The sequence below is a fragment of the Homo sapiens genome, chromosome 9, assembly GCF_000001405.40.
Source record: "Homo sapiens chromosome 9, GRCh38.p14 Primary Assembly".
Classification (NCBI taxonomy): domain Eukaryota; kingdom Metazoa; phylum Chordata; class Mammalia; order Primates; family Hominidae; genus Homo; species Homo sapiens.
Genome location: NC_000009.12, coordinates 112,603,640 through 112,617,571, shown reverse-complemented (window position 1 = coordinate 112,617,571; position 13,932 = coordinate 112,603,640). Strand labels below are relative to the sequence as shown.

At 35.2% G+C, this 13,932-nt stretch overlaps 1 protein-coding gene across 4 annotated transcripts in view; it reads right to left on the bottom strand.

Moving 5' to 3' along the window:
* KIAA1958 overlaps positions 1-13,932 on the bottom strand; it is a 182,571-nt gene that overhangs the window by 51,826 nt on the left and 116,813 nt on the right. The gene's annotated exons all lie outside the window — the stretch shown is intronic.

Below are 13,932 nucleotides of genomic sequence, written 5' to 3'. Positions count from 1 at the left end.
GTTTTAGGAAAAATGTGGGACAGAAATGTGCTATTTATCCTACTGCAGCGTGCAAGAGCCCCATTAGCGCTGACAAACTCATTCCGAATCACTTCATTTGTGAAAACAGAGGTTGTACTGGTTCCATTTTATTGAATTAAACTAAAATATCTGTATTTGTTATTTTAACACATCACTAAAAATCTGTATTTAAAAATGACAAAGCAGATCTTTTATGGCAGTTAATTAAATACTTGTTCTACAGCAATTTGGGTAAACACAGTTTATAAGCATTCTGCATGTAATTGCAGGGCATTTGTAATAAGTGATGAATGGAAATATTTGGTATTTTGGAGGGTAATGAGGATAAAACATCATAGCTATAAAGACAGGACAGTTACATTTGAATTAGGCTATTATAGTCAAGATGTAAAAAAGGGGGTATGTCTCCAGGATCCACTGTTTCTTTTTATTACTTTATTATTTGTACTCTGCTACCAAGGACTTGAGGTGCCTCTTTCTGTTTTGGATCATCCAAGGTTAAGTAATGCTGCCCTAGAATAGCTGTCTTCACAGATTGCTGTGCTTCAGAATCATCCAGGATGCTTGATCAAAATGCAGATTACCACGTAGCAGGTGTAGGAATCTGTATCTTAACCAGCATCTCTGTGTTCATGATGAGGTTTGAGAGAATATATTTTGAGAAACAAAGTTCTAGTGCTTGTGTCCTAGGCAGGAAATCTTACTCTATTTTCACCAATTTTAAAATAATAGTTAAGTTCAATTACATCATTTACATGGTTTCATTTCAGTAAAATGTAATTTAAATTTAGGATCTTAACATTAACAATAAAATATTTTGTCAAAAATCACCACTATTATGTTAGACATGGTCTGGTGAAACTCAAAAGAGAAACCCTAAAGAAGGCATAGAAATAAAAAACAGAAACAGGCTACGCTATTGATTGTTGAGAGGCAAACACAGAGGTTAATTTCAAACAACATAAAATATGTAATTTCTGATTTCTACAGTATAAAGTAAAAGTATTTTGTTTATCTTAATTATGTTATCTAGAAAAAGTTATATTAACTTGTAAGACTGCTTAGCGGAAGTCTTTCTAATTACCACATCCAATGATAAAATTTCTAATAAACTGAATTTTATTTACATACTACTTTTTGTATTACTATACATATATATGAATAGCCATGCTATTTTAAAATGACAATCATGGGGCATTATTGCCAAAATCCACATAACTTTATAAAATGATATAAACTAAAATTCACAAAACTAGTTAGCTATTTTTATAGGCACATTTTTGAGGGATCACATTTCCAAAATTCAAATATACAAAAGTAAGCTTTATGCTCCAATACACTTAACTTTTAGTCATGCTATTTTCTTCCAGTTGAAACTGTTTATCTATTAACAATAAAGGTGTTTATCTTTCCATCAAAAACATGGAAGCCACAGGTTGAATGTAACCATTTGACATGCTGGCTTCCTTGACTGTTTACAATGGAAAGCCAAAGGGGCCAGCACATCTGTTTTTCTTGGTTACTTGTTCAAATATCTATCACAGCAGTCTTCTAACTTCAAACAAAGATTTTCTAAGAAATAAACAGTCACAGACAACTTTGGGAGAAAAATTTCCAGGTTTCCAACTTTCACATGGGATCTTTTAAAAACTTTCTTGTCTGAGATGTAAACTGAGTTGTACATGTTGCCATCCCAAACCTACTACGGTACATACTCTGGGGTGTATTGACTTATAAATTTTGTTTGGCTCCTCAAAGTCGAAAGACCTTGACTTTTACCCATTAGCATTTCCTGTCTTTAAATAAGTAAACCCATAGCATTTCCTGTCTTATGCATATTTTGACAAAGATGAAATCTACCATGAGAAACAGTGTTTGGGGCCTGAATGGGGTGTTCTGAATTTAGGACATATGAAGGGGTTATATGTTAGTGAGGCTGATTCTTCTAACTAGAACTAGAATATTCTGCAGAACTACCAAAAAGCTCAAGATAAAGTAGCAGCTTAAAATTTTATTAATTTCTTTCAGATGATTCAGTGTGCTTTTTATTCACAAGGTATTTAATATTATCAAATCATATCATGAAATACTGATTCTAGGTAGAGTTGCTCCTCTTTTTTTTTTTTTTTTTGAGACGGAGCCTTGCTCTGTCACCCAGGCTGGAGTGCAATGGCATGATCTTGGCTCACTGCAACCTCCGCCTTCTAGGTTCAAGCTATTCTCCTGCCTCAGCCTCTCAAGCAGCTGGGATTACAGGCACCCGCCATCATGCCTGGCTAATTTTTGTATTTTTGTAGAGATGCGGTTTCACCATGTTGGCCAGGCTGGTCTTGAACTCCTGACCTCAGGTGATCTGCCCGTCTTGCCTCCCAAAGTGCTGGGATTACAGGCATGAGCCACCATGCCCGGCCTCCTCCTCTTCATTTTTATAAAATATTCACTACTCCTTTTTTACAAAAGTAAATTGATTGAAACATATTGAAAAACCTTTGGGTGTCAATTTAAAAGTGAGTGGTAAAGACTATTCAAAGTTCTTTTAAGGGATATGTAAGCAAAAAAGTTTAAGTCTGTTGGATTTAATTAAGCAGCATTAGTCAGTCTGCTATTAGTGGAACTGGTGAAGACAACCACGGAAGGGTCCAGAATGCTGGTGTGGATGTTGTCACCTGCCACAGTCCCGAGTGAAGCTCTCCTACTTCTGTATCTCCTCCACATTTCAGCACCATGCTAACATACACAAAGATGACTGACACATTCACACCTTTTCAACTCATCTTCAGCCAAGCCTTTCCCTCTTTTCTACTGGGCCTCAATCTTAGTTGACAAACAGCCATTCCATCTGCAGGAAAATAAAACTAAAGACAAATGTCACACTGTCATATCCTTTCCTAATAGCCAGGAATGAGCTACATGAAGAGGTTGAAAGGGTAAAGACACCATCATTGATTTTACATGAGTAAGAGGGAAAGAAATAGTTTTAAAGTCAAGTAATAGGAATAAGTTTTTTAGTTAATAACAAAATCAAGTAAGACTAGAGAAGACTGATAATAAAATACAAAACTATTACAACTGTCTGCATTTACCTCTAGTTTTAGAAATTTTTCTGACCCATTCCTTTTAAAATCTTTTTAATAGGTGTAACATACATACAATGAAATAGACTAGTCATTAAGTGCATGTGATTAATTTTCACAAATTGAATACACCTGTGAATCCAGTGCCCAGATTAAGAAAAAGAATATCACCAGCACCCGAGAAGCCTTTCTCATGTCCTCTTCTTCCAGTCACTTGCTCTCACCAAGAAAACCCGCTCTCCTGACTTGAAACATCATAGTTTTGTTTGGCCTATTATTGTAACACATATGAATGGACTCTTAGAACGTAAACTCTTTTGTGTCTGACTTCTTTTGCTCAACATTATGGTTTGTGAACTTCATCCATACTGTTGTGTATTTGTAGATAATTTATCCTCATTGCTGCACAACATTCCATTGTGTGAATATATTATAATTTATTTTTCCATTCTACTGGACATTGCATTCTATTAGTTTTCAGTTTTTGGCTATTTCCAATAAAACTGCCATAACATTCTAGTGGGTGCCTTTTGGTGGTCATGTGCATGCATCTCTCTTGGGTATATACGTAGGAGTGGAATTGCTGGGTCACAGGAAATCATGCATTCAGCCATAATACTAAAGACAATTTACCAAAGTGGTCATATCAATTTACTTTCCCCACCATGAGGAAAAGGTGCTCCATTATCTTCAGCAACACTAAATACTGTTAACCTTTCTTACTTTAACCATTCTGGGCATGTAGTGGTACTCCAGTGTGGTTTTAATTTTCATTGGGATATCCTCTTTCATGAAGTGCCCGTTCAAATATTTTGTCCATTTATCTACTGGATTGTCTGCTTTTTTCTGTTTGTAGAAGGTTTTTAACATATTCTAGATATGAATGTTTGTTATATTTATTACAAATATCTTCTCCAATCTGTGGCTTGCCTTTTCATTTTTTAATGATATTTTAATAAACAAGAATTCCTAATTTTATATGGTCCAATTTATCAATTTATTTCCCTTATGATTCATGCTTTTTGCCTCCTGTTGAAGACATTTTGCTTATTCCAAGGTTATGAAAGATTTTTCCATTTCTTCCAAAAGCTTTACTGTTTCACTTTTCACATTTTGATCTGCCATCCACCTAGAACTGACTTGCGTATTTTTGATCTGCCATTTACCAAAATATCCACCTATATGTTCTGAGATAGAAATTAAGATTTTTTTCAATAAGGATCATGATCCATTTGATTTTAATTAATACAATTTGAACAGTCAATACAAGCATATAGGACAGTTTCTAAAGCTACAAATGGGTATAGAGTAAAAGTAAGGCACCTGCTCATCTCAACCCTTTGTTACCAAGTTTCCCTCTTCACAACAACCAATGTTACCAGTTGATTATATATAATTTTCAAGTTTTTACATTTCTTATTCTTTTCCTTTCAAAATGGGGGGGAGGAACATACTATACATCCTATTCTATACTCTGCTTCTTACCACTATGTATTAGAGATAGCGCCATATCATTATGTATACAGTTGCCTTAATCTTTCTAATAGCTGCATTCTATTATATATGGATATAACAGAATTTTTCCAGTTTCCTAACTCCCTACGGATAGGCATTTCCATTATTTGCATCCTGTCGCTATTACAAACAACACTGCAATGGGTATCCCTGTAGACAGAACGTTTCCCATGCATGGGCAAGTATATCTATAGAATGAATTTCCAAAAGTGGAACTGCTATATTGCTACCGCCCTGCACATATGTTGAACTAACTTATACTCCCATGATAAGACATAAGAGTGCTGCTTCAATCACACCTTCCCAGATATATTATCAAACCTCTTCATCTTTGCTTATTTAATTGTAATATATATTATGATTTTATTTTGCATTTCTTTTAGAAGATTTAATGCTTTTTCAAGTACATACTAGTTATCTGTATTTTCTCATTTTCTGTGAATTTTGTCATCTGTCCATTTTCTTTTTAAAATATTGATTTATAGGAACTCTGGATATATTTAAGAATATTTATATTCATATTTAGTCTTAATTCATTACAACAATATTTATTTGAGACAGGGTCTCACTCTGCGACCCAGGCTGGCATGCAGTGATGTGATCACAGCTCACTGCAGCCTTGTCCTCCTGGGTTCAAGCAATCCTCCAACGTAGCTGGGCCTACAAGCACAAACCACCACACCTGGCTAATTAAAAAAATACATGTTTTTTTTTTGTTAGAGATGGGGGTCTTACGAAGTTGTCCAGGTTGGTCTCAAACCCCTGCACTCAAGCAATTCTTCCACCTCAGCTTCCCAAAGCATTGGGATTACAGGTGTGAGCCACCCTGCCTAGAAAGTCTTAATTCTTAATATCTACTATTTACATATTATTAATTTAGCCTTATTACATATTATGTATTATAAACATTTTTTAATATATATTTAACCCTTTGTCAATAATATATATTTTTCTTTTTTTAGTTTGTCTTTGTGACTCTATTTTTCCTCACTGTGATGGCATCTTTATCATATGCTAAATTCCTAAATGTATTTGGGTCTATTCTGAATCTTTAATTCTATTCCATTAACTAGTATCCTTATTAGGGCAAAGTATACTACTATTTAAAATTAGGTATAATAAAAATTTGTCTTAATAATTGACAAGCCTATTCAATCCCCTCCTTACTCTATTATTTCAGAACATTCCAGTATATTTTAAAACTTTTGTATAACAAATAAGCTTTAGAATCAGCTCCTATCATTTTAAAAATCCTGTTGGTATTTGCACTGATAAAATTAAATGTATACTAAGTTTAGGAAAACCTGACATACTTATGATTGGGAATCTTCCTCTATAAGAATAGATTATTGCCATATTGTTCATTTTTCATATCTTCTGCATCTCCCAAACAGCTTTTTGATTTTCTCCCCACCCCAATTTTTTTTTTTTAAATCTTAAAGAGTTTTGTTAAATTTATTTATTCCTGGGTATTTTCTGTAATGCTATTCTTACTGCAAATGGAAATTTTCCAGTTTATTTTCTAACTGTTAATTGTATATAAGGTTACTAACTGTTGTATATTTGTATTGTACCCAACCAACTTACCCAAGATTTTTAGTTGATAATCTTGGGTTCTGCAAGTATATAATCCAAGCATTCCAAGTATACAATTACATCATTTGCAAAAATGGTAATTTTATCACTTCTTTTCAATGTTTATGCTCCATATAGCGTTTTGTTTTCTAAGTACTTCCAAAATAGGTACCTCTAGAACATGTTAAAAAACAGTGATAGGTTGTGGCTCATTACTGATATTAATGAGAAAATCTCCCAGCGTTTTACTTTAAAGAACAATGATAACCTTGGGGTTAAATGATACAGATATATTGATATGGATCAATTTAAGACTTATTAAAGAATTTCCTATTCATATTTTAATAAGGCATTTCTTAAAAAATTCATGTTAAATTTTATCAAATGGGTTTTCAGCATCTATGGAGAAGATACAATTTTTCTTTTGCTCTATTAAAAGATTTCCTAATGTAGAAGCATTATTTAATGTCTGTTATGAATCCCACTTGCTTGTGGTATATTCCTTTAATGCTCTGTTGAATTCTGCATGTTAATACTTTATTTAGTATTTCTGCACTGGTATTCATAAGCAAATTTTGTCTATTTTATGTTATTTCTGTTACATATTACCATTATAGTTCTGCTGGCATAAGAAAACGATTTGAAAGTATTAACTATACTTGAAATTCTGGTAGAATTCACGTGTGGAACCATCTAGGTCTGATGCTCTCTGTATGTGTCCTGGAGGGGTTGTGAGGAGAAGAGGCTTAGCTCTTTGTTAATTTACAGTTTCTAGAAAATCATCTACTTCTTCCAAGCTTTTAAGGTGATTTGCATAGAGTTGTATAAAGTAATGTCTTATGATAATTTCAATTTTTGGGGGGCCCGTGATTACTTCTCATTTTCATTTATTGTCTTCTATATCTATGCTTCCTCTTCTTAATCTCTCCTCCATACCCCTTTTGGTTATCTACCAGTTTACTTTATTCGTGTTTTGAAAGATTTAGATTTTGGATATTTTTTCATTGGTTCTACTTTTTTCTAATACTCTGTTTTTGTTAACTATCTTTCCTTCTGCTTTAAATCTTTTTTTCTAACCTCTTGAATTGGATGCTTAATTTCTTTTCCTACTTATTTATATTAATAAAATTTTTAAGTATATAAATTTCCTCTGAGTACTGGGTTATCTGCATCTCTAGGTTTTGCTATATAATGCTATTATTGTCATCATGATTATTTTTATCTAGTTACTCTGCATTATTGATTTCATAATAAAAACTTTTGAATCAAAAAAAAATTTAGTGTTATAACATTTCCAGGAGGTAGGTTCATTTCATTTCCTAATTTTGTTAAAAATGTCTAATTTTGCTTCATTGTGTTCTGAAATATTATTCCAACTATTTTCTACTTTGGACATTTTACTGAGATTTTTCACCAGTGTTCCAACACAGCAGAAGGTAATGCACTGTGGAAGAATAGGGTATTATACAAGATGTCCATTCTCTCCACTTTTCTTCTCCTTGGCTCAATTTGGTCATTTAATATATGGGTTTTCTGGCCAGGCATGGAGGTTCAAGCTTGTAATCCCAGCACTTTGGGAGGCTGAGCGGGGAGGATGGCTTGACCCCAGGAGTTGGAGATCAGCCTGGGCAACACAGTGAGACCTGGTCTCTACCAAAAATTTAAAAATTCGCTGGGTGTGGTGGTGCATGCCTGTAGTCCTAGATACCTGAGAGGTTAAGGTAGGAGAATCCCTTGAGCCTAGGAGGTTGAGACTGCAGTGAGTCATGATCATGCCACTGCACTCCAGCTTGAGTAACAAAGCGAGACCCTATCTCAAAAAACAAAAATTACGTATATATAAAGTTTCCCAATCTCTGTGCATTTTGCACTTGCCTCTGTAATTCAAGTTTCAATTTTCCTTACATCCTTTTCTAGTCACATAACTTCACCTTAAAATTTTTTACAGTAAATTCCTATATTTACTGCAACTTGTGCTTATTTATCAAAAATTTATCATGTCCTTTAAACTATACTAGTATTTTATTAGAATTAGCTTTGTTAGTTATCTGATTATAAAGTTACGTCGAATTTAAGTAGTGTGCCCTATAGCTCCATTGTTTTTTAGAGTGTCAACTGTTTTCAGAAACGCATATATCATTTGATAGCAGTTACCTGCACAGCAGGTAACTTGCGATCTAATCTGAGAGTCTCTACAGAGTTTATAGTTATATTGTGATTTTATGAATACACATAAGATATATGTGAATATATGTCAAGCTCTCTGTTTCCATTGTTGCATCAGGGCTCTTGCTCAGCTCCTCTTTCTGTTGGCCAAATCCTCCTCCTTCTGTTGGCTTCATCTCAGGCAGAAAAACAACAGCCAGAGGCTGAAAAGAGACTATTTCAGTATCTCCTTTTAGGAGTAAAGAAACTTTTTCCAGTTTATATTCTACTGTAAATTTTTCTAGTGTTATCACTGTTGTTATAACTTTGCATCATATCATAAATTCTCTCTCTTCTCTTTTTTTCTGAGGAAGGGGCTCTTGCTACATTGCCCAGGCTGGCCTTGAACTCCTGGGCTCAAGCAATCTTCCTGCCTCAGCCTCCTGAGCAGGTGGGACTACAGGTGCATGCCACCCCACCCAGCTTAAATCCTCTTGATCACGGCTCACTGCAACCTCCACCTCCAGGGCTCAAGCAATCCTCCCACCTCAGCCTCCATAGTAGCTGGGACCACAGGCATGTGACACCATGCCCGATTAACTTTTTGCATTTTTGGTATAGATAACGGTTTTGCCATGTTGCCCAGGCTGGTCTCAAACTCCTGAGCTCAAGTGATCCACCCACCTTGGACTCCCAAAGTGCTGGGATTACAGGTGTGCACCACCACACCCAGCCAAATTCTCTATTTTTATACAGCATATTTTGGTACTCCACTACAAAAAATGTCAGAATTAATATACCATATGCTTCCTTTTCTGTCTCCAACTAATCATTTTTCCATTACATTATTTTTCTTGGTCTATGTAATTGTTAGCTTTTAATCATATTATTTAGTTTTTCTAATGTTACCTGTTATACCATCAAAGGTTTATAAACACTATTAGTTTAATTATTAGTTTAAATTATTAGTTTAAATATCTTTTGAATCTTGTTTTATACTATTTCCCACTTACTACCCTCCCAACTTTTAACAATTAGACATTTCTTCATTGTCATGGTTTAAAATAATTACCATAAATATTTAGAAATAATTTAAAATAATGTTTTTAACCATAATTCCCACATTTTGGTCTCAGTCTTGTAATTAAATGGAGGGAATCAAAACTTACCTCAAGTGTTTTGCCACTCTCCATCTCTCAGCTGGCTAAGTTTGTCCTCTAACAGCTTATTCAAATAGTATTTATGAAAACTGTTTCCTGAGGTCCTAAGTTCTTGAGAATATCTTTACACTTTTATTGCTTTTATAACTGAGCAACAGTTTGATTAGGTTCAAAATTCTCCACTCATACTCATTCTCCCCCAAGCCCGAACATTAGTGGCATTGTTCAGCTGTCTTTTAGAACTCAATGTTGTCTTAGAAAAGCCAATGGTCAGCATTATCTTCCACCTTTACAGGTCTCTGGATTGCCTTTGCCTTTTTTTTTTTTTTTTTGTCTTGGATATCTAAATGATTATCTTTTTATCAATGAGGGGCAATAACTTTACTAGGAAATGTCTCAGTGCTGATCATTGTACATTAGTCTTTTTTTCTGGTACAGAGTATATCCTTTCAAGCCATAAATTCAAGTATCTCCCCATTGCCTTGTCTCACCGGCAGACCACTTCCCTCAAAGTTGGCAAGTGTATAGGTGTTTCTTTACTCAGCTCTGCCTCCTATGCTACTCTCTGGTGTCAAACAGGGCACAGGGAAGCTCTCACCACCAACCTAAGTTCCCCATTCCAGTTCTTCAAAAGGGAACGTTTATTTTACCACTGAGCATGGACCACCTCAGTGGAAAACTGAGGTCTCTCTCTCACTTCCATCTGAAATCTACATTCCCACGCCTTTTTTTTTTCTTTTTTCTTTTTTGAGACAGAGTTTTGCTGTGTCGCTCAGGTTGGAGTGCAGTGGCGCTATCCTGGGTTCAAGCGATTCTCTCGCCTCAGCCTCCTGAGTGGCTGGGACTACAGATGTGCACCACCACACCCGGCTAATTTTTGTATTTTTAGTAGAGATGGGGTTTCGCCATATTGGTCAGGCTGGTCTGGAACCCCTGACCTCAGGTGATCTGCCCACCTCGGCCTCCCAAAGTGTTGGGATTACAGGCATGAACCACAGCCCCTGGCACCCATGTCTCTTGACGCCATATTCAAATTCCAGTCTCATCACTGCATTCAGCACCCCTTCTTTATATACTATGGTTCTGGGTTACAGAAGACTTTCAGTTTTATTTAAGAAAATATTTGTGAAATGATTTCCAAGAGAAGTGGCTGAAACATCTTTGTTCTGTGTTCTCAAAGCCAGAATTCTGATCCAGTTCTCAGCATTTGAATGAGATTGCTGTAACTTCTAGTCCCTAACTTGGTGCTTTGGATTTTACAGGGATCCCATAAATGTCTGTTGAAAGCTTTCTAATCACAATGCTTTCTGATCTATAAAGAAGGGTTTTAATCCTGAAGATCTGGGTGTTCATCAGTAACTCAGTGGACAAACTTCATTGAAATTTTCTTTGAATGTACATGGTAAGAAATATAACTTGAACTCTAAATAGCTGTTGTTTTATCTAATGCTGATGATAAAAAATTTTCTCAACATAAAAGAAGATATACTATAAAAATGACTTAATTTTCTGAAGTATGTATATAGTTTAGCAGGTGAACTGAATGAGTCATTGTTACTAATGAGAAATATATGCATTGAGATGGGCAAAATGGTCTCATTAAGGAAGCTGTGATTAATAACACATTTAAAAACTGAATATGGGTAAAATCCCAAAGGTCTAGAAAACTGAATGGCAACTACAAATATGCAAGTACAAATTTTTTTTTCTAAGCAGATCAGGTATTTATTTAACAATTAGAAATGAAATTTTAATGGGCAGGCAGCAGAATGTTTCTTATGGCTCCCGTGAACCTATGTACCCAAAAGCCTAATCAACATCTGTACCCAGACCTAAGATGTAACTTAGGATCTGTCCCCAAACTTGCCCATCCACCTACTCAGTGTTTCCACCACCTACCCAGGTGCTGAAGCCTGAAACCTGCACACCATCCTTGATACCTGCTCTCCCTTTCTGCTACACCTAATCAATCAGGTCCTGCCGAGCTACCTCATTCATTCACTCAAGCACACTGACTGAGTAACTGATACATGTCAGGAATTAAGTAGGCTGGGTCTACAGAGATGGATATAAGGGAAACAGTCTTGCATTTGTGGAATTTACCATCTGGTGGTGGAAAACAGACAAGAATACAAATAAGAAAATCTTGGACAAACTGGCAGAAGTGCTATGAAGAAAAATAATGGGTGTTATCAGAGAGGATAAGTGACACATTTAAGGATGGATATTCTAGGAAGTCCTCTCTAAAAATATCTTTTAGTTAAGACCTAAAAATGAAAAGCCAGTCACGCAAAGAGCAGAAGGAGGAGCAGTAGAGGGAACAGCATATGAGAAGTTCCTGCAATGGAAACAAAATTTGAGAAACTGAAAGAGTATCACTGTGCCTGGAGTGAAGTGACTAAGAGCAAGAATGGTATGAGGACAGGTTTTGAAAGCCCACTGGGGCCAGGTCATGCAGGGCCTTGTGTTTTATCCTAAGAAAACTAGTTGGTCAGAAAAGTACATGGTCAGATTTGCATTGCTCTGTTATGATACAAACCTACCCATTTTCTCCCATATTAAGAAAATCTTCAATAAACTCTGCTTTGTGTAAGTAGGAAGGGCAGGGGCTGGGCTGATGTCTAGATGACCTGGTATGAAATATTCTCAGAAAACGAAATGATCCATAACCTCAATTACCTCAGTGGAAGCAGGAGGTCAGAGGCAGAGGGAACAGGAGAACATCCAAGTCAACCACCACTTCACTTTTCCCCAACCCATCCTCAGCCCCAGCAAAAAATCATAGTTTGTAAAAACTGTGGAAGAGAGATTCAAGCTAATCTTATCTAAATATTAAAGAACCAGGAAACAGCAGGTGATTAGACTTACATTGTCCTACATAGTTACCTGTGTCCATTTCAAACCTCTGTGTTAGGCTGTGACCTCCTCCAGGAGAAAGAAATGCTTAGAGACAGCTTTAGCAAAGTGTTAAAGCAGACAGCTTCTCTCTCTCTCTAAATATATATATACAAATTTATATATATAATATAAATATATAAAAATACATAATGTATATAAACATATAAAATATATAACATATAAAAATATGTTATACATAAAATATATAATATATAAAAATATATAAACATATATTAAAATATATATTACATAAAATATGTATTTATATAGTATATAAAATATTTATTATATATATATAGTGTCCACGCCCTGTTAAGTCAATTATTTTTCACGTCTTTGTCATCTGTGAATCCAGAGTACTCAGCATATGTTCTGAATTTTAAATGCAAAGATCCACCACATATATTTCAAAGGATGAACATCCCAAGCTTTCACTTGAGTATGATAAGAAGGGGAGAACTTCTGGACATGCATGGTTTTCAAAAATGCATATTAAAAATGTCTTTCCTCTAGAACTTGCATTTACGTTAGCTCCCTTCTACCTACCTGTTATAGCCTGCTGGGCTACTATTTTAGCAGTCCTTGCTGTCACTGCATCACTAGTTTGGTTTTGCTTATAAACAGGAAGACTGGATAGATTCTCTTAAAGAAGGTATAGGTGACCTTAGTTCTTTGAATGAAAGGTTGTATTTCTTGCCTGTACCATTCACAAGTACCACTTAAATTTACTCAAAGCTTCTCTAAAGGAGAAGCCATCCCACAAAATCCAGCACAGTGAAAATGAGCCTTCAGTAAATGTAGCCGACAGATCGAAAAGTTTTAGGTTAATGACTTCTAAGAGATTTGTGACCTGGAGAGGGGTCTCAGGAACAGCCTCAGCACTGGCTCAGGATAGCCTGAGTTAAGTTTTTATCCAGACAGCTTTTCTGTACTTATTTACATAGTCTCCATGCCCCATTAATCTAATTATTTCCTCTCTTGTTAGAAGATGGCATGGAAAAACACATAATTAGTGCAGTATCTTATGTTCTCATTTAATTTGGGGAGATTTATGTTAGATTTAAATTCAGATCCATTTGCTTCTATTGCTACAGTACCCAATTTAAAATAAAAACAAACTTGGCTATCACATTCCTCTGTGATTTTATTAAAGCAATACATTTGAAGCAATAAGAAACATTTTCTTTACTATTTTCATTTAAGAGAAGACTATTTTGTCTCATTTTTCACTTGATAAAGAAAAGAAATGATGTCTGAATTCTCTTTACATACCAGTGACTGATAAGTCCATGAGCTTATTAAATAAGAATGTATTTTAAATTTGAAAAGTAAAAAGAAATCTGGCGAGCAGATTTATATTTATGAAGTTGCAGCTGAGATAAATATTTAATCCACATTTGTGAGTACCCACTGTGCCCCCTGGCATTTCAAGAAGACCTGTGGGATGTAGTCAAAGGTAAGTCCCTGATGGTTATGAACATTACATCATAGGTAGATGATTAATACACATAAAACAAATTAAAAAGACCACACATGGCACTGTG